The 24973-nt window shown below is 43.0% G+C and overlaps 2 protein-coding genes across 4 annotated transcripts in view, besides 1 other annotated feature; both read right to left on the bottom strand.

The window, feature by feature from the left end:
* Positions 1-2196: 2196 nt before the first annotated feature.
* Positions 2197-7392, bottom strand: SMG8 (SMG8 nonsense mediated mRNA decay factor). The gene is made up of 4 exons (NM_018149.7): positions 5617-7392; positions 4941-5086; positions 3826-4698; positions 2197-2622 (listed from the first exon to the last, which is right to left on the bottom strand). The coding sequence occupies exons 1-4, from the start codon at positions 7373-7375 to the stop codon at positions 2425-2427; spliced, it is 2976 nt and encodes a 991-aa protein (NP_060619.4). The 5' UTR covers positions 7376-7392; the 3' UTR covers positions 2197-2424.
* Positions 7514-7583: an enhancer, noted in NCBI's record as "active region_12504". NCBI's record gives its function as "activates an Ori minimal core promoter by ATAC-STARR-seq in GM12878 lymphoblastoid cells {active_cell/tissue: GM12878}" and the evidence as "EXISTENCE:reporter gene assay evidence [ECO:0000049][PMID:35858748]".
* PRR11 (proline rich 11) overlaps positions 10718-24973 on the bottom strand; it is a 50964-nt gene continuing 36708 nt past the window's right edge. For all 3 annotated transcript variants that reach the window (XM_024450828.2, NM_018304.4, XM_047436387.1), the window contains 6 exons: positions 23693-23935; positions 22572-22670; positions 21984-22096; positions 19824-19883; positions 19638-19734; positions 10718-15864 (listed from right to left, as the gene is read on the bottom strand). In XM_024450828.2, the coding sequence (XP_024306596.1) occupies positions 15796-15864; positions 19638-19734; positions 19824-19883; positions 21984-22096; positions 22572-22670; positions 23693-23935 (681 nt within the window). In that variant the 3' untranslated portion in view covers positions 10718-15795. The remainder of the gene's footprint in view (positions 15865-19637; positions 19735-19823; positions 19884-21983; positions 22097-22571; positions 22671-23692; positions 23936-24973) is intronic.

Below are 24973 nucleotides of genomic sequence, written 5' to 3'. Positions count from 1 at the left end.
TCTTGGCTCACTGCAACCTCTGCCTCCTGGGTCCAAGTGATTCTCCTGCCTCAGCCTCCCAAGTAGCTGGGATCACAGGAGCACGCCACCAGGCCTGGCTAATTTTTGTATTTTTAGTAGAGACGGGGTTTCACTATGTTGGTCAGGCTGGTCTCGATCTCCTGCCTCGGCCTCCCAAAGTGCTAGGATTACAGGTGTAAGCCACCGCACCCAGCCTATGTATATTTTTAAATTAAAAAACAATGGCTTTAAATGTAGCAAGATGTGTTAAATACATATTTCCTATATATTGAGACTAAAATCTACAATTCTATTTGTCCAACGTTTCAAAATTAGTGTGTCTATGGAAATGTAATCAATTACACAAGAGTTTAGGTATGTTAACTTAATTTGTACTTACCTAATTGGTGATATATCACAATATACCACTATATTGCCATCTGATTGGTGATAACAACTAGATGGTGATAAAAATTAGATGGTGATATAGTGGCATATTGTCATGTGGATGCTGGTGAAAGTTACCATAGATTGGTAAGAATTTTTTTTTTTTTTTTTTTTTTTTTTTGAGACGAAGCCTCACTCTGTCACCAGGCTGGAATGCAGTGGCGCAATCTTGGCTCACTGCAACTTCCGCCTCCCGGATTCAAGTGATTCTCCTGCCTCAGCCTCCCGAGTAGCTGGGACTACAGGGGTGTGCCACTACACCCAGCTAGGTTTTGTATTTTTAGTAGAGATGCGGTTTCACCATGTTGGCCAGGATGGTCTCGATCCCTTGACCTCATGATCCACCTGCCTCGGCCTCCCAAAGTGCTGGGATTACAGGCATGGGCCACTGCACCTGGCCCAAGATCTTTTTTTTTTTAGACAGGGTCTTGCTCTGTTGGGGTGGTATGATCACAGCTCACTGCAGCCTAGACCCACTGGGGTCAAGCCATCCTCCCACCTCAGCCTCCTGAGTAGCTGGGACTACAGGCATGCACCACCACATCTTTATCTTTTTTTTTTTTCTTTGTAGAGACAAGGTCTCACTATGTCTTCCAGGCTGGTCTTAAGGGATCCTCCTGCCACCTAAACCTCCTAAAGTGCTGCAATTAAAGGCATGAGCCATTGTGCCCAGCCTGATTGATAAGATTTGGATCACTTAGCAAATTGTTTCACAGTACAGGAATTTTTAAAGAATAGTCTGCATTGACCAGGCAAGGTGGCTCACGCCTGTAATCCCAAGACTTTGGGAGGCCAAGGCAGGTGGATCACCTGAGGTCAGGAGTTCAAGACCAGCCTGGGCAACTTGGCAAAATCCCACCTCTACTAAAAATACAAAAATTAGCTAGGCGTCATGGCACGTGCCCATAATCCCGGCTACTCAGGAGGCTGAGGCAGGAGAATCACTTGAACCCAGGAGGCGGAGGCTGCAATGAGCCAAGATCCCGCCACTGCACTCCAGCCTGGGTGACAGAGTGAGACTCCGTCTCAAAAAAAAAAAAAAAAGAATAGTTCGCATTAATATACTGGATTAAAAAGTTTAGTTTAGATAATATTCGTTTAAATTATGGTATCTCATCAGGCCAAGATAAGAACAAAACCGTTTAACTAAAGTACCAGAATTGTGAGTCAACCAATTGTGCTTTTTTTGGAATTAAATCAAGTATCTTCATATTATTACCAGATAACCTAATGTATCAACTTGTTTAGAAGATAATTTCAAGACTAGTATCTTAAAAAAAATCCCAGCTAGGCTGGGCTTGGTAGTTCATGCCTGTAATCCCAGCACTTTGGGAGGACAAGGTGGGCGGATCACCTCCTGAGGTCAGGAGTTCGAGACCAGCCTGGCCAAGGTGGAGAAACCGTCTCTACTAAAAGTACAAAATTAGCCAGGCGTGGAGGCGCATGCCTATAATCCCAGCTATTTGGGAGGCTGAGGCAGGAGAATGGCTTGAACCTGGGAGGCGAAGTCCACGGTGAGCCGTGATTGCACCATTCCACTGCAGCCTGGGCAACAAGAGTGAAACTCTGTCTCAAAAAAAAAAAAAAAAAAAAAAAAAAAAAAAAAAAAACCAGCTAAAACATTATTTTAACAAAAACAAAATTTTGGCTCAACATGGTTATGCAACATTCAGTTATAATAGAAACATGTTTAATTATGGAGAGTAAAACAGAAACGAGAAAAAACAGGTATCATCCATGTATTTTATATTCTTTTCTAGAACAACCAATCTTTATTAGAAAGTTGTAGTCACGTTTACAATAAATATCAACAATATAATGAAAAAGTAGAACAAATTAGTTTCCAAATACTGAACTCCTGTAACCAAAACACATTTTGGATTTGGGAAAACACAGTAAACACATACCAAAAACACAGCCACAAATACCAAAAACAAAAACCAGCTCAAGTATAGGATTGAACTGGCTGGAAAACACTTATTGTGTTACTGCCTTAAGAACCCCACGGAGCACCTTGTAGCTCATTAACTGCACATTTTCCTTAGGGGGGAAACAAGGTCCTCTCTCAGTCACATATGCATAAGGAAATCTCAAAACCCAAAGGCCATCAGGTGGAAGGGTGATTTCTTGTTTTTCTGGGTAGAATACCGGACATGGTGGTGGGCCTGGCTGAACCTGAAAAACACAGGTAGTATAATTATTTTCACATTTCTCAATATGAAACAACTGAAAGATAAATGCCTAAACAGACGATAGGTTCAAAGAACATACAAGGCCAGACCTGGTGGCTCACGCCTGTAATTCCAGCACTTTGGGAGGCTGAGGCAGGTGAATCACGAGGTCAGGAGTTCGAGACCAGCCTGGCCAACATGGAGAAACCCCATGTCTACTAAAAATACAAAAAATTAGTCAGGTGTGGTGGCGTGTGCCTGTAATCTGTTACTGGGGAGGCTGGGGCAGGAGAACAGCTTGAACCCAGGAGGCGGAGGTGCAGTGAGCTGAGATTGCACCACTGCCCTCCAGCCTGTGCAACAGAGCGAGACTGTCTCAAAAAAACAAACAAATAAATAAATAAAAGAATATATAAGATTAAGCAGATATGGGTACACTCCTAACTCTAATTGTATCCAATAGTATATTATTTAGTCTCAAATATTATTCTGCTTTTCCCCAGAACTTTTTTTTTTGCAGGGGGAATGGAGTCTTTCTTAGTCACCCAGGCTGGAGTGCAATGGCGCGATCTCGGCTCACTGCAACCTCCGCTTACAGGTTGATTCAAGTGATTCTCCTGCCTCAGCCTCCCAAGTAGCTGGGATTACAGGCGCCTTCCACCACGCCTGGCTAATTTTTTGTATTTTTAGTAGAGACGGGGTTTCGCCATGTTGCCCAGGCTTGTCTCGAACTCCTGACTTCAGGTGATCCGCCTGCCTTGGCCTCCCAAAGTGCTGGAAATACAGGCGTGACTCACTGTACCCGGCCTTTTCTCCAGAATTTTAACTTCAAGTTCTGCCTTTGAATGAAATGATGTGAATTGATAGCATGAACGGATTAAAATACCCACAATGTATTTTTTAAAAAACAGAATATTAGGTATGGAAGGTATTTAAATTTAAGACCTGTTTAATTAAATAATTCGTTTTTTAATTTAATTTTTTGTAGAGATACAAGTCTCACTATGTTGCTCAGGCTGGTCTTAAACTCCTGGGCTCAAGCAATCCTCCCACCTTGGCCTCCCAAAGTTCTGGGATTACAAGCATGAGCCACTGCCCTCAGCCTGAAATAATTAGTTTTGAGGCTAACTTGTACTTTTTAAAATCAATCAAAACAAACATCAGCATTTTTTACTTGTTTGGGGCTGCAGAGGGTTATATTTCTTACCTGAGGCATTAGTATTATCTGCAAAGGAGCATCAGGAACCACAACAAAAAGCCTCATAAGTTGAGCATAATGAGGTTTCAGCCCTCTACCTTGAGAGGATGACAGAATATATAAGGGCATGTCACTATTTAGGGCTTTTAAAGCTGATTCCTTTGGCCCACTTCCCATTACTTTCATTACTTTGTCAGGCCCAGAGCACATGAATCTCCGACCTCGAGAGTCTTCATATTCAAAGCCCACAAAAGCTCGAGCTATGTCATCTCGCCGTCTTCCTCTTCCCATTACAACCGCACTTCTCTTTCCAGGAATAGCTTTATTTGGAGCAGGCCAAGAGTTTGTGTCTAAGTCTCCTTCATCTTCAGCTCTAGTCCTGATGACAATGTCCCAAGGCATAAGATAATTTGTTCCTGGAATAAAGCCCTGTTGGTCCAAACCTGTATGAAAGTTATAAGACTTAGCAGGGCCTAGTTTAACCAAAGACCAGCTGGAGAATTTGGGTAGGAGACCTTTAGGGCAATTTGAATGTAGCATGCCTGGGAGATACTCAACTGTGGATGCCTGTCGATCAACGAAGTTTGGCCTCTTCTCAGTTTTCACTTCTACTTGACCATGAACTTCTGGATTATCTCCTCCTGCTTGTGGATCAGCTGGATAGGTACCTAAGCTATCTGTGGATTGGCCCAAACTCAAAGCTAAACTCAGGCTCGTGCTCTCTCCTTGGGTTTGAGGTTCTTTTTCTTTAAGTTTATCAGCATCCGAATCTGGAGGAGCAGGAGAGGATTCATTTTTAGCAGGAGCAGGATCTGGAGTACTTGGTTCAAATACTGGGAAATTGATATGATCCAATTTTCCACAACACTTTTCTTCCAGAAGCTATAGAGGGTAAGAAAAAAAATCCAGTAAGTTTTTCATTTTAAATAATATTCTTCATTCTAACAAGATCAATAATTGATGTGTAAGTAAATATGTACACATAAAGAATTTGCTCCTGTTTATATATTATACTGCAGTTGCATTTGCTTTTCTACTTACTCTGCTATTGAAAATATGTTTTTACTCAGATGATATTTAACAAAAAAAGACAGAAGAGGAAGAAGAAAAAATTCAGAGTCTACCTGATAGAAGTCATAATTGGCTGCTTTGATATCAAAGGGATCATCTCGAGGTGCTTGTTTCCTTCCACAGTTGCAAGCACCAGTAGATCGAGCTCGGCTATTGTGATATAGCACAGGCGGATTTCTATCAGCCTCTGGTTTTTCTCCTGGAAAATATAACAGCCACTATTAATTTCATAAACACAATGTGCGAATTTACTTTGCATTCTACAACATCTAACCCCACAAACAAAAACCTTACCTAAATACACATAACAGAAGAAGCAAGTGAAAGTATATAAAATACTTTATATTATAAATGTAAAGTTTAGAGTTTTTAAGTGAATTTTTCCTCCTGCTACCATTATCATGTACCATCATCTAACATAACATTCATTTTAGTTCTACAAATCCTCCAAGGCAAAGTGTTAATATGAGATGTCTGAAATTTTATACTACTTAATAATTCTCACTTACCAATTCACTAGGACGTATCCTTTAAATGAAAAAAAATAAGAAAGTAGTCATAGCTGATATTTTCCTTTTACAGCAGGAGAGAAAACGTATAGCTGATGCACCTAAATTTCTGTAGGGCTCTTTCTAAAATATCAATACATAGTGAACAGACTATCTTAAAACAAGAATGAAAACACAGCTCAAAGTTTTTATTTCAAAATGCTGAACAAATTTTAGCTACCTGATTTAGGTAATGAGTGAAATTTGTGCACACAGTGTTGATCAGTTAAACTCCTCTCCTCACAGAGCTGATGGCCATTGCTCCAAAATTTGTAGCAGTCCTCATGTAACTGCATGGCGTATTTGTGAAATGCTGGACCTCTAGCATGTTGACTGTACACTCGAAGAGCCTGGGCAAGCTGATTCTTATGGACAGTCATTGTGTAATTATGAGGCAAATTTGACTGGTAGGCACTGTGGGCCATGGGTAAAGCTTTTTGGCATCGGTTTTCTGAGAATTTTGTGTCAATATCCAAAAATCCTTCCAAGACTTTAATACTGCTTAAAATCTTAGATGTTAGCTCTCCAGTGGGTGACCCCAAGTCCTCTTCTTTCCCATCAATAGCCACCTCATACAGTTTTGAAGCTGCTGAGATCCACTTCTGATAAGTAGGAAGTTCAAAATGGGAAGGCTGTGGGTTCCTGCCCACACTGTCATCGAAACCTTTCTTGCTTAGAACTAGCTCCACATGCTGCCATAGGAATTCCCGAAGAGTGAAATCCACTAGCTGGCCTGAAGAACTGGAACTGCTGCTGTCAATGTGAAAGGAAAGTTGTTGTCGGCTGTGCTGCCTCATCACCTGGTATCGCCTAGGCCCAGAAAGGGGTGCAGGCACCAGCAAAGATTCCGGGTCCTTCACAGTACAATGACTCCTAAGTTGGTCCAGCAACATACCTACTGGGTCCTCCTCCTGGCTTCCCGGTACTATGTACACGAAAGCTTGGTTGGCAGGCACAGTAAAGAGGCAGTTGATGCTCTGATTAGTCAAGACACGACTCTTCCGGAAGATTCTATAGATCTGGTCCTCCAGGGCATGCTGCAGCCTCCTTTTGGGAGAATGTTTCTTGGGCTTGTCTGGATGAGCTGGGTCTTGGTTCCGAGGAGGTTCTACCTTGAGGGCTCCATTGAGTTGAAAGAGGAAAAGGAGTCTAGGTGGGCAAGGTCGGCAGTTTAGCTTCCAGTCTTTGCCAACTGGACAATCCTTAATGGCTGTTTTAAGGAGCGGCAGGACCTTCTGTCTCAGCCCATCCAGGGCTCTGAATACTCGATCATAAGTGATATCAAAGGAACAAGTGGGATGGACCAGAAGCAAGATATGACAGACAGAGAATAGGTAAAGGAGACTGAGGCACTGCAGCTTCTCTTGATGCTTCCAGAACTCGTGTGCTTCTGCATGAGGTAAAGAGAGTCCACCTCCAGCTTCCCCGCTCTGAAGAGCCCGACAAGCCCGGAGAAGCTGTGAATTGTCACAGATGGAGGTGAGGAGAAGATACAGAACTTTGCTTTCCTGACTGTAGTAGGCCTGCAGAAGGCTGTAGTCCTGGGAGCCTGCCTCAGTTCGGTTACCTTCCGCGACAGCTCCACTTCCCCGAACTGAACCCCCGGCTGCAGCCCCAGGGTCCTCGGCTCCACCGGCCTCACCCACGGCGCCAGCCTCAGTTCTGATTCCAGGTCCTGGATCCCCAGGATCTTGGTGGCGAAAGAGAGGAAAGACCTGTCGGTCGCACACCGTATTCACAAGAGAGAACTTCTCGGAATTCAGGCGTAGAGCCGTCTTGCCGAAGATTCCCACAACGCAGATCTCATCCTCCCGCCATGGAGGCTCCGGTCCGCCAGCCGCGCTCCCTCCGCCCTCAGTAGGGGACCCTCCGGGACTTTCAGAGCCCATCCAGGCTGATGCTCCCATTAGAAGGTCTCGCAAGCTCACGGGACCAGCCATAGTGCAGAGCGTTCTCTAGAGTCCTTCCGGTCCGTTAGTAAAACCGACCGGCTTTCGTCCAATTTTGAAATCCTTCCTCCGCTTCTTCAGTTCCTGCTTTCCCGTCACTTGAGTTCCGCCTCCTCTTCTCCTCTCCTAGTTTGTTTCCTCAACTGTAGGAATTGAGATATCAAAAACAAAAAACAAAAAAACAAAACAAAACTGGGACTACTGCGGTGGCTCACGCCTGTAATCCTAGCACTTTGGGAGGCCAAGGCGGGCGGATCACCTGAAGTCAGGAGTTCGAGACCAGGCTGGCCAACATGGTGAAACCCCATCTCTACTAAAAATACGAAAATTAGCCGGGCGTGGTGGCGGGCGCCTGTAATCCCAGCTACTCGGGAGGCTGAGGCAGGACAATCGCTTGAACCCGGGAGGCGGAAGTTGCAGTGAACCGAGATCACACCATTGCACTCCAGCCTGGGCAACAAGAGCGAAAACCGTCTAAAAAAAAAAAAAAAAAAAAAAAAAAAAGCAAAAATTAGGCGTGGTGGCGCATACCTGTAGTTCCAGCTGCTCAGGAGGCTGAGGCAGGAGAATTGCTCGAACCAGGAGGTGGAGGTTGCAGTGAGCCGAGATCACCCCGCTGCACTCCAGCCTGGGCGACAGAGTGAGACTCCGTCTCAAAAAAAAAAAAAATTGCGAAATATCTTTGTATGTAAATTATAACTTGCAGAACCTCTCTAACTAGAAGGCATATTGACAAATAGCTGCCAGGATAAAACTTACAACCAGATTTAAATGTATAATTATAACGTTTATTATTCTGGGGTTTTGTAAAAAATAAAAATCTTTGAATCTAAAAAAATTATCTATAGCACTATACAATAACATGACTGAATCTTTAAAATAAATGTTGATTGAAAGAAATCAGAAACAAAAGTGTATATACCCTATAATTCTATTTTTTTTTTTTTTTTTTTTTTTTTTTGGAGATGCAGTCTTGCTCTGTGGCCAGGCTAGAGTTCAGTGGCGCGATCTCGACTCACTGCAACCTCCGGCTCCCCGGTGCAAGTGATTCTCTTGCCTCAGCCTCCCAAGTAGCTGGGATTACAGGTGCGTGAGACCACACCCAGCTAACTTTTGTATTTTTAATAGAGACAGGATTTCACCATGTTGGCCAGGATAGTCTCAATCTCCTGATCTCATGATCTGCCCGCCTCGGCCTCCCAAAGTGGTGGGATTACAGGCGAGAGCCACTGCGCCAGGCCTGATTTTATTTCTATAGAGTTCAAAAGCAAGCAAAATAAACCATTGCATTTAGGGGTGTGTTCTTACTAAAAGCAAGGAAATATTTATTGTACCAAGTAGGTCAGTGATTACTTAGTGAGGGAAGGGATTATGATATAATATATATATTATATATATACATAATAATATATATTACACATATACATAATAATATATATTATATATATACATAATAATATATATTATATATATTTTGAGACAGAGTCTTGCTCTGTTGCCCAGAGTGGAGTACAGTGGTGCAATCTAAGCTCACTGCAAACTCCACCTCCCAGGTTCAAGTGATTCTACTGCCTCAGCCTCCCAAGGAGCTGGGATTACAGGTGCACCACCATGGGCGGCTAATTTTTGTATTTTTAGTAGAGATGGTGTTTCACCATGTTGGCCAGGCTGGTCTCGAACTCCCGACCTCACATCATCCACCCACCTCGGCCTCCCAAAGTGCTGGGATTACAGGTGTCAGCCACCACACCTCGCCTCCGGCCTAAAATTTTTTTTTTTTTTTTTTGTGAGACAGAGTCTCACTCTGTCACCCAGGCTGAAGTGCAGTGGTGCTATCTGGGATCACGGCAACCTCCATCTCCTATTCCCTGTCTCCGTCTCCTCAAGCAATTCTTCTGCCTCAGCCTCCCAAGTAGCTGGGATTACAAGCACGTACCACCACGCCCACCTAAACTTGTATTTTTAGTAGAGATGGGGTTTCCCCACGTTAGCCAGGCTGGTCTCGAACTTCCAACCCCAGGTGATCTGCCCACCCCGGCCTCCCAAAGTGCTGGGATTATAGGTTTGAGCCATCACGCTCGGCATTGATTTTTTAATTCATATATTTTCTATACTTACTATATACTTTTTTGTTTTTTTGAGACAGAGTCTCACTCTGTTGCCCAGGCTGGAGTGCAGTGGCGTGATCTCAGCTCCCTGCAAGCTCTGCCTCCCGGGTTCATGCCATTCTCCTGCCTCAGCCTCCCAAGTAGCTGGGACTACAGGCGCCTGCCACCACGCCCGGCTAATTTTTTGTATTTTTAGTAGAGACCAGGTTTCACCGTGTTAGCCAGGATGGTCTTGATCTTCTGACCTCATGATCCACCTGCCTTGGGCTCCCAAAGTGCTGGGATTACAGGCGTGAGCCACTGCGCCCGGCCAATATATACTTTTCTATAGGTATTATTATTTCTAGTTAAAAAAAAAGGTTAAAAAGGGAAAAACCAAAACTTTTATTAATCTTTATTTAAAGATGCAAGGTAGAACACATTTTAACACTGTACAATGGCAGTAGCAGCTTTGCAAATGTTTATCTATATGGACTTTTTTTTCCTGCCTGGCTTCGTTATATAGCAAAGCATTTTTCTTTTTTCTTTCTTTTTTTTTTTTTTTTTTTTTTGAGACAGCATCTTGCTCTGTCACCCAGCAGGCTGGAGTGCAGGTGGTATGAACACTGCTCGCTGGAGCCTCAACCTCCTGGACTCAAGTGATTCTCCCACCTCAGTCTCCCGAGTAGCTGGGACTACAGGCACATGCCACCATGCCCGGCTAATTTTTTGTTTTTTGTAGAGACAGGGTCTTGCAATGTTGCCCATACTGGTTTCAAACTCTTGGCCTCAAGTGATCCTCCCACCTCAGCCTCCCAAAGTGCTGGGATTACAGGTGTGAGCCACTGTGCCTGGCCCCCAAGCCTATAATTTTTTAATTTATATATTTTTCTATACTTAACATATACTTTTTTTTTTTTTGAGACAGTTTCGCTCTTGTTGCTCAAGCTGGAGTACAATGGGGCGATCTCGGCTCACTGCAACCTTTGCCTCCCAGGTTCAAGCCATTCTGGCTCAGCCTTCCCAGTAGCTGGGATTACAGGTGTCTGCCACTATGCCCGGCTAATTTTTGTATTTTTAGTAGAGACAGGGTTTCACCATGTTGGCCAGACTGGTCTCGAACTCTTGACCTCAGGTGATCTGCCTGCCTCGGCCTCCCAAAGTGCTGGGATTATAGGCATGAGCCACCGCACCCGGCCAACATTTACTTTTCTATAGGTATTATATTTCTAGTTTAAAAAGAAGGTTAGAAAGAGAAAAACCAAAACTTTTATTAATCTTTATTTTAAAACATAACCAGATGCACCTTGGTTGTTTACATTCTCTGGTTGCCATTCAGTCTCAAAGTAAACACTGGGAGCATATGATAAATCGTAGTTTAAGGAAGCCATAGCACTTACAGAGTTCTCAAATGGTTACAATATAAAATCTGTCATAAAAATCAGTAAAAGATGCAAGGTAGAACACATTTTAACACTGGTACAATGGCAGTAGCAGCTTTGCAAATGTTTGTCTATATGATTTCCACAGGACTTTTTTTTTTTGCCTGGCCTCATTATGTAGCAAAGCATTTTTTCTTTTCTTTTTGAGATGGAGTCTTGCTCTGTTACCCAGCAGGCTGGAGTGCAGTGGTATAAACACAGCTCACTGCAGCCTCAACCTCCCGGGCTCAAGTGATTCTTCCACCTCAGTCTCCTGAGTAGCTGGGACTACAGGCACACATCACCGCTCCCGGCTAATTTTTCGTTTTTTGTAGAGTTGGGGTCTTGCAGTGTTGCCCAGGCTTGTTTTGAACTCTTGGCCTCAAGCGAACCTCCTGCCTTAGCCTCCCAAAGTGCTAGGATTATAGGTGTGAGCCACTGCACTGGGCCATAAAGCATTTTTCTTTTTCTTTCTTTTTTTTTTGAGACAAGGTCTCACTCTGTTGCCCAGACTGTAGTGCAGTAGTGTGATCTCAGCTCACTGCAACCTCCACTTCCATCGTTCAAGTGATTCTCACGCCTCAGTCTTCTGAGAAGCTGAGACTATAGGCACATGCCACCACACCCAGATAATTTTTATATATTTTTTTTGGTAGAGACGGGGTTTCACCATGTTGGCCAGGCTGGTCTCAAACTCCTGACCTCAAGTGATACACCCACCTCGGCCTCCCAAAGTGCTGGGATTACAGGTGTGAGCCACTGTGCCTGGCCCCCAAGCCTATAATTTTTTAATTTATATATTTTTCTATACTTAACATATACTTTTTTTTTTTTTTTGAGACAGTTTCGCTCTTGTTGCTCAAGCTGGAGTGCAATGGGGCGATCTCGGCTCACTGCAACCTCTGCCTCCCAGGTTCAAGCCATTCTGGCTCAGCCTTCCCAGTAGCTGGGATTACAGGTGTCTGCCACTATGCCCGGCTAATTTTTGTATTTTTAGTAGAGACAGGGTTTCACCATGTTGGCCAGACTGGTCTCGAACTCTTGACCTCAGGTGATCTGCCTGCCTCGGCCTCCCAAAGTGCTGGGATTATAGGCATGAGCCACCGCACCCGGCCAACATTTACTTTTCTATAGGTATTATATTTCTAGTTTAAAAAGAAGGTTAGAAAGAGAAAAACCAAAACTTTTATTAATCTTTATTTTAAAACATAACCAGATGCACCTTGGTTGTTTACATTCTCTGGTTGCCATTCAGTCTCAAAGTAAACACCGGGAGCATATGATAAATCGTAGTTTAAGGAAGCCATAGCACTTACAGAGTTCTCGAATGGTTACAATATAAAATCTGTCATAAAAATCAGTAAAAGATGCAAGGTAGAACACAGTTTAACACTGGTACAATGGCAGTAGCAGCTTTGCAAATGTTTGTCTATATGATTTCCACAGGACTTTTTTTTTTTTGCCTGGCCTCATTATGTAGCAAAGCATTTTTTCTTTTCTTTTTGAGATGGAGTCTTGCTCTGTTACCCAGCAGGCTGGAGTGCAGTGGTATAAACACAGCTCACTGCAGCCTCAACCTCCCAGGCTCAAGTGATTCTCCCACCTCAGTCTCCTGAGTAGCTGGGACTACAGGCACACATCACCGCTCCCGGCTAATTTTTCGTTTTTTGTAGAGTTGGGGTCTTGCAATGTTGCCCAGGCTTGTTTTGAACTCTTGGCCTCAAGCAATCCTCCTGCCTTAGCCTCCCAAAGTGCTAGGATTATAGGTGTGAGCCACTGCACTGGGCCATAAAGCATTTTTTCTTTCTTTCTTTCTTTTTTTTTTTTTTGACACAGGGTCTCACTCTGTTGTCCAGACTGGAGTGGAGTGGTGTGATCTTGGCTCACTGCAACCTTCACCTCCAGGATGCACATAATTCTCGTGCTTTAGCTTCCTGAGTAGCTGGGGCTATAGGCACATGCCACCACGCCTGGATAATTTTTATTTTTATTTTTGGTAGAGACGGGGTTTCACCATGTTGGCCAGGCTGGTCTCAAACGTCTGACCTCAAGTGTTTTGCCCGCCTCAGCCTCCCAAAGTGCTGGGATTACAGGCGTGAGCCACTGTGCCAGGCCTTTTTTTTTTTTTTTTTTTTTTTTGAGGCAGGGTCTGGCTCTGTTGCCCAGGATGGAATACAGTGGCACAATCTCAGCTCACTGCAACCTCTACCTCCGGGGCCCAAACCATCCTCCCACCTCAGCCTCACAAGTAGCTGGGACTACAGGCACACAACATCACACCTGGCTAATTTTTTTGATTTTTGGTAGAGACGGAGTTTTCATCATGTTGCCCAGGCTGGTCTCAAACTCCTGAGCTCAAGTCATCCACCTGCCTTGGCCTCCTAAAGTCCTGGGATTACAGGCGTGAGCCATGGTGCCCGGCCCTAGCATTTTTTTAATGATCTCTTATCCCACAAGAATGGTCAAGTCATTTAGCATTAAATGAATAGAGTACACAGTGGTTTACAATATTATAAACATTATAAGCGCCCCATAAAATATTATTGTTATAAATACTCAACTGCTTTATTCTCAGTGATTATTCCCTTTATTTTTACATAATGTAAATGTAGCTAGCAGGTTTAAAAAAAAAAACTTTTACTAGAAGCTGATATATATCTCTTAACGTCACTACCCATTTAATTTTTTTTTTTTTTTTTTGAGACAGGGTCTCTTGCTCTGTCACCCAGGCTGGAGTGGCAGTGTTGCAATCTCGGCTCACTGCAACCTCTGCCTCCCAGGTTCAAGTAACTGGGACTACAGGTGCGTGACACCACACCTGGCTAATTTTGTATTTTTAGTAGAGATGGGATTTCACCATGTTGGCCAGGCTGGTTTCGAAGTCCTGACCTCAAGTAATCCGCCTGCCTCGGCCTCCACAAGTGCTCGGATTACAGGCATGAGTAACCGCACCCGGACACCTGTTTAATTTTCATCCATAAATGTGTTATAAATATAGATGTGGATCTCTGGCCGGGCGTGGTGGCTCACGCCTGTAATCTCAGCACTTTGGGAGGCTGAGATGGGTGGATCACCTGAGGTGAGGAGTTCAAGACCAGCCTGGCCAACATAGTGAAACCCCATCTTTACTAGAAATACAAAAATTAGTCAGGCGTGGCAGTGCGCACCTGTAATCCCAGCTACTCAGGAGGCTGAGGCAGGAGAATTGCTTGAACCTGGGAGGTGGAGGTTGCAGTGAGCCAAGATTGCGCCACTGCACTCCAGCCTGGGTGACAGAGTGAGACTTCATCTCAAAACAAAACAAAACAAACAAACAAACAAACAAAAATCTCTATATATAGATGTGGGTCTCAAAAACAGGACTGCCTCTTAGGTGGTAAACACTGTCCCCAGGTCTGCTTTCTAGTCTGATGACTTTACAACAACACTCTATTTGGCATCTCAATGCAATATTTATCTGTAGAAATACAGTCTTTCTGGGGAGTTGCTTTTTACTTTTTAGAGATGAGTTCTTGCTCTGTTGCCAATGCTGGAGTATAGTGGAACAATCATAGCTCACCATAGCTTCAAACTCTTGGGCTCAAGTGATCCTCCCACCTCAGCTTCACAAGTAACTTGGACACTTAGACTACAGGTGTGCGTCACCATGCCTGGGTAATTTTAAATTTTTGATAGAGACAGGGTCTCGCTATGTTTCCCAGGCTGTATTACTGTCTTTGATTACATAGGTCAGTGACAACAGGGAACTAGGTCTCACAGTGACCTGCTATGGACTTCAGAGATTCCTTGGCAAGGCATTGTCGAAAATATAAGGTTCATGTTGAAGTTGTCATAAAATTTTTATGTAGCTGTATAAATGTGGACAGCAGATATAAAAATAAGGAATACCTTAGACTTCTGTAAGCCAGATATAAGTACCTACCTAAGATGCTAGAAATGATATTCTAATTTAAATTTTTTTTTTAATTTTTAGAGATGGGGTCTTGCTATGTTGCCCAGGCTGGAGTAGAGTGGCTATTCACAGGCATAATTATAGTGCACTACAGCCTCAAGTGATCCTCCCTTCTCAGCTTCCTAAGTAGCTGGGACTATAGGCATGTGTCACCACAGCTGGCTGATTTTTGTATTTTTAATAGAAACGGGGTCTCCCTGTATTATGTTGCCCAGGCTAGTCTTGAATTCCTGGGCTCAAGCAATCCTCCCACCTTGGCCTCCCAAAGTGGTGGGATTACAGGTATGAGCCAAGAGGCTATTTTTTTACTGTCATAACTGCACCTATACAGTACAAACTAGAGTTATCTAGTTAAATTTGAACAACCTCTCTAATCTAAATTGGGTAATTCCAGGATAAACATCACTTTGGAGATTGTATTTTCCCATCTGGTTCTCTTAATCATCATGCAAACTAGAAAATATCCAAATATCTGTATATACACTTTATATCACAGTATGTGTGGGCTCCATACATACTCTAATTCTCCAAATGCAATTATATTAGTATATCTATATAAACCCTACTACATTAAAAAAAAGGATTTGGGTGGGTTTTTTTTGTTTGTTTGTTTGTTTTTGTTTTGCTCTTGTTGCTCAGGCTGGAGTGCAATGACGCGATCTTGGCTCACTGCAACCTCTGCCTCTTGGGTTCAAGCAATTCTCCTGCCTTAGCCTCCCGCATAGCTGGGATTACAGGCACCCGCCACTATGCCCAGCTAATTTCTGTATTTTTAGTGGGGAAGGAGTTTCACCATGTTGGCCAGGCTGGTCTCAAACTCCTGACCTCAGGTGATCCACCTGCCTCAGCCTCCCAAAGTGCTGGGATTACAGGTGTGAGCCACTGCACCCAGCTGGGTGTTTTTATCTGTATTTGTTATGGATCATCTCATGGAGTGAGGCAGAGTTGGCATCAGTTTTGTTCATCAAAGCTGCTTGTAGAAAGTGGCAGAGTTGGAGTTGGGCTTCTAGGGTGAGCCAGCTATAAAAAAAAAAAGTCCCAATTATAATATCAATTATATTCCTGTGATAAGTACAACTCTCCTTTCTCAACAGAACCCAGAATTTTTGCATGGCAACACTGCATTCAGATTGTAAAAACCACTTTTCCCAGTTTCCCTGATGCAATCAGAAGTTCCTGGATAGGGCTTCTTTGAAGAAATGAGGCATAGCTTAATTAACATTTGCCTTTCTCCTTCTCTTGCCTAGAATGTGGACATGAGGCTTCAGGAAATGTAGGCATTTTGTATTAAGAGGATAAAAGCCACACATTAAGGATGGAAGAACAGTGATTATATGGTGAAGCCACTGTATTATAGTTGTGGACTTCCTACTGCCCAAAGAAATATTTAAATTAAAAAAATAAGTCCGGGAGCTAAGCTATGAGGATGCAAAGGCATAAGAATGATACAGTGGACTTTGGGGACTTGGGGGAAAGGGTGGGGTGGGGTGAGGGATAAAAGACTATACATTGGGAACAGTGTACACTGGCTGGGTGATGGGTGTGCCAAAATCTCAGAAATCACCACTAAAGAACTAATTTGTGTAACCAAACACTTTCTGTTCCCCAAAAACGTATTGAAATAAAAAATAAATTTAAAAAAAAAAAAGATAGTTGTGGGCCGAGGACGGTGGCTCACGCCTGTAATCCCAGCACTTTGGGAGGCCGAGACAAGAGGATCACTTGAGCCCAGGAGTTTGAGACCAGCCTGGGAGATATAGTGAGACTTCGTCTATAAATTTTAAAAAAACAGGCTGGGCCCGGTGGCTCACGCCTGTAATCCCAGCACTTTGGGAGGCCGAGGCAGGTGGATCACAAGGTCAGGAGATCGAGACCATCCTGGCTAACACGGTGAAACCCTGTCTCTACTAAAAATACAAAAAATTAGCCGGGCGTGGTGGCGGGCGCCTGTAGTCCCAGCTATTCGGGAGGCTGAGGCAGGAGAATGGTGTGAACCCAGGAGGCAGAGCTTGCAGCGAGCCAAGATTGCGCCATTGTACTCCAGCCTGGGCGACAGAGCGAGACTCCGTCTCAAAAAAAATTAAAATAAAATAAAATAAATGAGTTAGTTGTATATATTAAAAAAAAAAGTCCTAATTTATTTATTTATTTGTCAAGGCAGAGTCTTGCTATATCGCCCAGGATGGTTTCAAACTCCTGGCCTCAAGCGACTTTCCGGCCTTAGCCTCCCAAAGCACTGGGATTACAGGTATGAGCCACTACACTCTGCCATGTCCCTATTTGATTAAACCACTATAGTCAGATTTCTGATACCTGAAGCCAATGCAAAACCTGATACAGTTGCTTCACAGTTTAAGAAAAAAAGAAGCCTAAGGGTTGGGTGGGATAAGTCATCTATATCTAACAACAATTTTAACTAGACATCCTCCTCCTGAGTAGATTTTGGCAGCACAACATATGCCATAGGTCTTATCTGTGATTTTTGTTGTTGTTCAATATGTGGCTTTACAATTTATTATCGTTTATCCATTTCCAGAGTTCTCAACTCACTGTACCTGCTATGAAGTAGGGGCAGTGACAACAAAGATCTTAGAGCTAAACAGAAAAAGCAAGGGGCTAAGACCCGTGAGGCCTCGTCCCTTTGCTCCTGCCCTTCACAATTTTGGGTATCACCAAGGAACTTGATTAGGGGTAGCATGCTCTAAGAGGAGGAAAGAAGAACCTGGTCACATCTCCACTACGCAGAAAGCTGTATAGTGCCCAGTAGGACCAAGTTGATTGGTAAGAGAGAAATTATATTGTCCCACAAAAAGCACTGATTCTCAAACACGGAACAAAAGGAAGACAATATTGGGGTGGAAAGTGTCAGCAGTGGAGTCTGCTATGTCCCTGCATCCAGAGAGAGAACGAACTATAAACTTCAAAGCCAAAGATGCCAGCAGCCCTGTGTTCCAGCACTCCAGCAGGGGCAGCCGACGGATGGCTGTTCTTCACAGATCTAATGATAGAGGCAATTAGGGAGATGACTAAGATCAACAGGGTTTGGAAGAAGTCACACCAGGGCCAGCTGATCTACTGGGTTGGGTATGTGGTTGTATATGAATGTGACAAAGAAAGCTCTCAAGACCTTTTCCTTTCAACTCTGCAGGGTCTGACTCCTAACTACATCTCCATCCCTGTCTTTCACCACCATTGGGCTCCCTCTCTGTGTTACAGCCACACTGGTCACTTCTTAGTTCCTTGAATAGGCCATGATCCCTCACCCCATGGAACTCTTACGAATTTTGTTCTTTTTGCCTGGAACTCTCTCCTTCCTGACACTCATGGTGGACCCACCCCACAGTTACCCTATCCAGTAAATGCCTCTTCCTTCTTCGACTCTCACCTCAAGCATCATCACTTCCTAAGGGAGTCCCTCCTAGATCATCCAGGCTAGATCAAGTTCCTCTCTGGGTTCCCACAGAACCTCATTCCTTTCCTTCATAGCACATACTGCCATGTGATATTATACAAATATGGGATTATTTGATGAATGCCTATTTTCCCCACTAGACTGAAAGCTTCAAGACAGTAATCTGTATCTGTTTTTGCTTACCACTATATTCCCAGTACTTCAACACACTGCTGGGCATATAGGAAGTGCTTAGTAAATATTTACTAAAAATATGTACTAAAGGGATTAATAAAATCAGACATTTACAGATAGACATGATAATCCTACCTATAGTTCTTTTTTTTCTTTTTTTGAGACAGGGTCTCACTCCGTCACCCAGGCTGGAGTGCAGTGGTGCAGTCTTGGCTCACTGCAACCTCCGTCTCCTGGGTTCAAGCGATTCTCATGCCTTAGCCACCCAAGTAGCCGGGATTACAGGCACGAGTCACCATACATGGCTAATTTTTTTTTTTTTTGAGACTAAGTCTCGCTCTGTCACCCAGGCTGGAGTTCAGTGGCACAATCTTGGCTCACTGCAACCTCTGCCTCCCAGGTTCAAGTGATTCTCCTGCCTCAGCCTCCCGAGTAGCTGGGACTACAGGCATCCGCCACCACACCTTGCTAATTTTTGTATTTGGGGTAGAGACGGGGTTTCACCATGTTGGTCAGGCTGGTCTCAAACTCCTGAGCTCATGATTCACCTGCCTCGGCCTTCCAAAGTGCTGGGATTACAGGCGTGAGCCACCGTGCCCGGCCATTTTTGTATTTTTTTAGTGGAGACAGGGTTTTGTCATGTTGGCCACGCTGGTCTCAAACTCCTGGCCTCATGTGATCTGCCCACCTCGGCCTCCCAAAGTGCTGAGATTACAGGCATGAGCCACTCACTGTGCCCGGCCAATCCTACCTGTATTTTATAGAATTTTATGAAGCCTAAATATGAAAATACTTTGCAAAATACGGTACCATTTAAAAATTATTGTTACTAAGAAAGCTGCTTTAAATTATGATCATAAATTATGATTATGATTATTTATTTGAGACAGGGTCTTGCTTTGTCACCCAGACTGGAGTGCAGTGGTGCAATCACAGCTCACTGCAGCCTTGACCTCCTGGGCTCAAGTGATCCTCCAACACAGCTTCCCAAGTAGCTGGAACTACAGGCATGCACCACCACGCCTGGCTAATTTTTTGTATTTTTTGTAGAGACAGAGTTTCACCATGTTGCCCATCTTGAACTGCTAGGCTCAAGCAATCTCCCCACCTCAGCCTCCCAAAGTGTTAGGATTACAGTCATGAGCCACCACACCAGGCCAAATTATTTTCAAGCAAAGGAACCAATATTCTTTTCCTAAAGGGTTACCTGAAACTTTCTCCTTAAGGCCTGCGTCATCACTGGAGTCAGTCCTGTTCCTGTTTCCATATTTTCCTTATTGGTAAGAGGGGTTCCACCTGGGCTCCTGCAAAGGTATTGAAAATAACAGTAGCTGTATTTTATGGCAACTTTTAAAATGGACGTAGAAGGCATAAAGATATGAGAGTGTATTACCTCTCTACATCGACTTTTCTAAGCAGTTTCCGCAGATCCATCTGACTTTTTCCAGGAGTGCTGATAAAACAAAGATATAAAAATTAGAACTTTGGGAGGCTGAGGCAGGTGGATCACAAGGTCAGGAGATCAAGACCATCCTTGCTAACACGGTGAAACCTTGTCTCTATTAAAAATACAAAAAATTAGCCAGGTGTGGTGGTGGGCGCCTGTAGTCCCAGCTACTCGGGAGGCTGAGGCAGAAGAATGGCGTGAACCCGGAAGGCAGAGCTTGCAGTGAGCAAAGATTGCACCACTGCACTCCAGCCTGGGCAATAGAGCAAGACTCTGTCTCCAAAAAAAAAAAAAATTAGAACTTGCCAGATTTTATTATTTTTTTCCCAAAGGAAAGCAATCATTTCTATAGGCAACATCCTAGAAAGTAGTTCTATGTGTTACATTAAAAAATAGCAGTAGAAGCAGGGTGCGGTGGCTCACGCCTGTGATCCCAGCACTTTAGGAGGCCGAGGCAGATGGATCACGAGGTCAGGAGTTCATGACCAGCCTGGCCAAGATGGTGAAACCCCATCTCTACTAAAAATACGAAAATTAGCTGGGCGTGGTGGCGGGTGCCTGTAATCCCAGCTACTCGGGAGGCTGAGGCAGAGAATTGCTTGAACCTGGGAGGCGGAGGTTGTAGTGAGCCGAGCTTGTGCCACTACTCCAGCCTGGGTGACAGAGCTCCTTCTCAAAAAAAGAAAAAAAGAAAAAAAATAGCAGTAGATGCCGATGGGAACATAAGATGATATAGCCATTCCAATATGTAATACTTCTTGACCCAGGAGTTACATGTGTAAGAATCCATCCTAGGGAAAAACTCAGCCATGTACAGAGTTGATAGGCAAGGATGTCCACTGAAGACTTACAGAAATTAAATGTCATAACCTAAGTCAGGCGCAGTGGCTCACCCCTGAAATCCCAGCACTTTAGGAGGCCGAGGGGGGTGGGTCATTTGAGGTCAGGAGTTTGAGACCACCCTGGCCAACATAGTGAAACCCCGTCTCTATTAAAACATACAAAAATTAGCCAGCACTGTGGCACACGCCTGTAATCCCTGCTACTCAGGAGGCTGAAGCAGGAGAATTGCTGGAACCCGGGAGGTGGAGGTTGCTGTGAGCCGATATTGCATCACTGCACTCCAGTCTGGGCGACAGAGCAAGACTCCATCTCAAAAAATAAAAAAATACAAAAAATAAATAAATAAAACAGGTTGCTTTCAGAAATTATATAATATGAAAACTAGTGTGTCTTGGAATCAAGCAAATATGGTATATGTGTGTATCTGTCTGTGTATAATCATATTGTAGATATAGTTTTTCCCATTCAGTATATCATGAACTCTTCCTATCTTTTTGAAAATTAACTTAAAGTGTCATTTTGACATCTTCAAAATATGCAGTTAATTGTATGTAAATTTCATAGATAAAATCCTGTTTTAAGACATTTAGGTTATGATTTTTTTTTTTTTTTTTTTTTTGAGATGGAGTCTCTCTCTGTTGTCCAGGCTGGAGTACAGTGGCACAATCACTTCTTACTGCAGCCTTGATCTCCTGGGCTCAAGTGATCCTCTTTCTTCAGCCTCCCAAGTAGCTGGGACTACAGGCACACACCACTGCATCCGGCTAATTTTTAATTTAATTAGTTTTTTTTAGAGATGGGGCTCTCACTATGTTGCCCAGGCTGGTCTTAAACTCCCGGCCTCAAGCAATCCTCCTACTTCAGCTTCCCAAAGTGGTGGGATTACAGACATAACCCACCACTCCCAGCCTAAAATTCTTGATAGTATATCTTTTTCTCCCAAAATCTGTTATTAAATCAATGCCATATCTTATAATAAACAGCATCTTTAAATGGGGCAATAAACCATATGCCCAGAAAAAGACTAGAATGATAAACAGCAGTATGTTAACAGTGGCTATCTCCAGTGATAGGATTATTTAGATAATTTTTGTTTTCTTTTTTAAACTTTTCTGTAGATTTCAGTTTTTCTATAATGAGCATATATAACTTTTAACATTAGAAATACACACAAAAAATCTTTTTTTCCTTTTCTTTAGGCCTTTGTACAACAATATCATTCTTTTAAGTAGTAGTAGAGCATAGTACTGTGCAGTTCCTTACATTAAGACGTTTGTAACTCGAGTCGATAACACTTTGGAGTTAGGTTTCAGGGTAACATGCTGCAAGTCAGAGACGGTAACTAGTGGATTCCGTGCTTTCGGCGATGGTATAAGCTTTAATTATAAAATGAGACATTATTAAAACAAATTTTAAAATATCACTCAAAATGTAAACATGCAAAAACGGCAAATATCTGAGTGCTGAGTTTGTGTAAGATATATCCAGTATGCTACCCAATTTTTATTCCAGAGCTTCAAAGGATGTCTCTACCTCTTCAGACTAAGGGTTGGGAGATAAAATTGCCTAATTAAATCATTTCCTAATATATACATTTTGTTGGGAAATCCAAAACTACTAAAATAAAAACATCAAAAACTTAACTTGAAATGAAATGACTTCTCCCTCCAGCACCCCCGACCCCAATTGTATACAAATTGAGATGAGGTCTTGCCATATTCCCCATGCTGGTCCTGAACTCCTGGGCTCAGGTGATCCTCCCACCTTGGTCTCCCAAAGTGCTGGGATTATAGGCATGAGCCTATATTGTTAAAAGCAAAAAGAGCATGTATGTGGTCAATGACATCTTACCTTCCTCTTTTCATCTAAACTCTGTGTCTTCTTTAATTTTACAGTCAGCAGATCTTTAACTGTTATCTGCATGGGTCCATCTTTTTTTAATGGTCCAGCCTTAAAATACATGGTAAGGTTAGAATTCAAATTGGAACCAGCACAACTGGTGAAATGCAAATCCAAATCTAGTTTTTAAAGACTCAGAGTTAAGAGGTAACTCTTATCTACCCTAGGAACCTGTCATATTCTTTCTACTCAACCAAGAATAATCGTATTTTTATCACCCATTGAAAAGCATTCATCAAAATGTAAGGCTTCCCCCACCCCGCAATTTTGTTTTTATAAGCTAAGACTTTGCTAACAAATAAGAGATGGACTAGTTTCCTGCAATATTGCATCTTCCCCGGGAGTCATTATAATAAGACAAGAGTTGAAGGAGTTAATCGGGTTAAAGTGAAGTTTTGCTTGAATTACCTAGAAAGATGACTCAGTTTCCACAGAACAAGAATGTATACAATCAGAGAGGTATAATTAGGGCAAATATAACAATAGGCTCCAGGTTTTGTTTTGTGTGTGTGTGTGTGTGTGTGTGTGTGTGTGTGTGTGAGGATTGGGAAGACTCTGGATTTAATTCAGCTACATTAAACCAAATTATCCATAGTGAAAATTCAGCAGATTTTAAAACAGGGTCATGCCTGTCTTAGTGATTCACAAATTGTCTGGTCCCCTTGGTAAATAAGTAACTGAAATAGAGATTGGTTCTCCAGCCTAATGATATGAAACTTTGGAATCCACTAACTCTTTGTTCTGACTTTACTCTCTAAGCAATCTTCTATTCTAAATTTGGTTTCCTAGGGAGGTTTTCTTCCCTAGGAAAAAGCCATGCTGAGAAGCGAATAGAAATCTTCCACTCTACTGGGTTTCACACACATCACTTTCATTTCTCAATCCAGCTTCTAGGAATTTCTCAGGAACTGAGATTTTAAAAACACAATAATTAAGATACGGAATCAGAACAAAATATAGCCTTCTGGCCCAAGCCCTGATTAGCCTGGCCTTAAAAGGCCACTTGGCTTTACTCCTATATTACACACTCACCAAAACATATCAAAACATATCATTACTAGATTGTTACCTACCTGAAGTGCTTTAGCGAGACTGGGTTTTCTGAGCAACACAGGTGCTAGTGGTGGTGGAGGAGGTGGCAGAGGTGGAGGTGGAGGAGGAGGAGGAAAATGGCTGGCTGGCTGTGGCAGTGTGGGAGGAAGCACAGCTTTGGAGTCTCCAGGGGTGATCAGAACGCAGGCAGGCACATTTGTAAGTTTACCACTCATGTGACATGTTTGACCACAGCTTGGACAGGAAGAACTTTCTGAGATGGTCTGGAAGAAGACATCACATTTGGCAAATAAATAACAAGTTAATTTGATTCTTGAGGGTGAGAGTCATCAAAATAATAGCTACCATGTATTGAATGCTTTCTCAGCGTACCATGTGCTTCCTGATATTTTCTCATTTATAATCATAAGTTTCTTCATTTCATTCATTAGTTTATTTTGTATGTGCTATATGCCAGGCACTATAGGTACAATGTGAGCCCTGTGTGTCACCTCATGGAGCTGACAGTTCGGTGACAGAAGACAGACATTAAACATGCACAGAAGGCCAGGAATGGTGGTGCACACCTGTAATCCCAGCACTTTGGAAGGCTGAATCCAGCGAATTGCTTGAGCCCAGGAGTTCGAGACCAGCCTGGACAACATAGTGAGATCTCATCTCAAACAAACATGCACAAACACACTTGAAACAAAACAATACTTCAATAAGAGCAACGAAGTGTGCTATGAGCATGAACAGCTGGAGGCTTGGGAAGTGATATTTAGCCATGATCTCAAGAATAAATTGAGACTTAGCAGACGAAGGGAGATAAGGACTAGGGGAAGAGTTCCTTGCAGAGGAAAAAAATACTTAATACAGCCAAGAATATAGTACTTTCAAGAAACTGATAAAGCAAAGGATCTGGAACATGACTACTGTGGACTGAATTGTGTCCCAGAATTCATATGTTGAAGTCTTAACATCCAGAACATCAGAATGTGACTATATTTGGAGATAGGGTCTTTAAAGAGGTGATTAAGTTAAAATGAGGCCGTTAGGGTGGGGGTCCTAATCCATTCTAACTGGTGTTCTTACAGTAAGAGGAAATTGGACATGCAGAGAGATATCAGGAATGTACTCACACAGAGGAAGACTGTGTGAAGACATAGAGCGAAGACAGCCATCTACAAGCCCAGGAGGGAGCCTCAGAAGAAACTAACCAAGAAGCCACAGACTTCTTGCTTCCAGACTGTGAGAAAGTAAATTTCTGTTGTATAAGCCACCCAGCCTGTGGTATTTTGTTATGGCAGCTCTAGCAAACA

The sequence above is a fragment of the Homo sapiens genome, chromosome 17 (assembly GCF_000001405.40).
Source record: "Homo sapiens chromosome 17, GRCh38.p14 Primary Assembly".
Lineage (NCBI taxonomy): Eukaryota > Metazoa > Chordata > Mammalia > Primates > Hominidae > Homo > Homo sapiens.
Note: the sequence above shows the minus strand (reverse complement) of the source record. Positions and strands in the feature narration are given on the sequence as shown.

Bases quoted from the DNA above. Each gene is read 5' to 3' on its own strand.
- SMG8 (NM_018149.7), bottom strand. From the start codon at position 7,375: ATGGCTGGTCCCGTGAGCTTGCGAGACCTTCTAATGGGAGCATCAGCC. The intron at 5,087-5,616 runs GTAGCTAAAATT...TATATTTTCCAG, and splicing joins TCACTCATTACCTAAATCAG to GAGAAAAACCAGAGGCTGAT. The intron at 4,699-4,940 runs GTAGACTCTGAA...TACCCTCTATAG, and splicing joins CCAATTATGACTTCTATCAG to CTTCTGGAAGAAAAGTGTTG.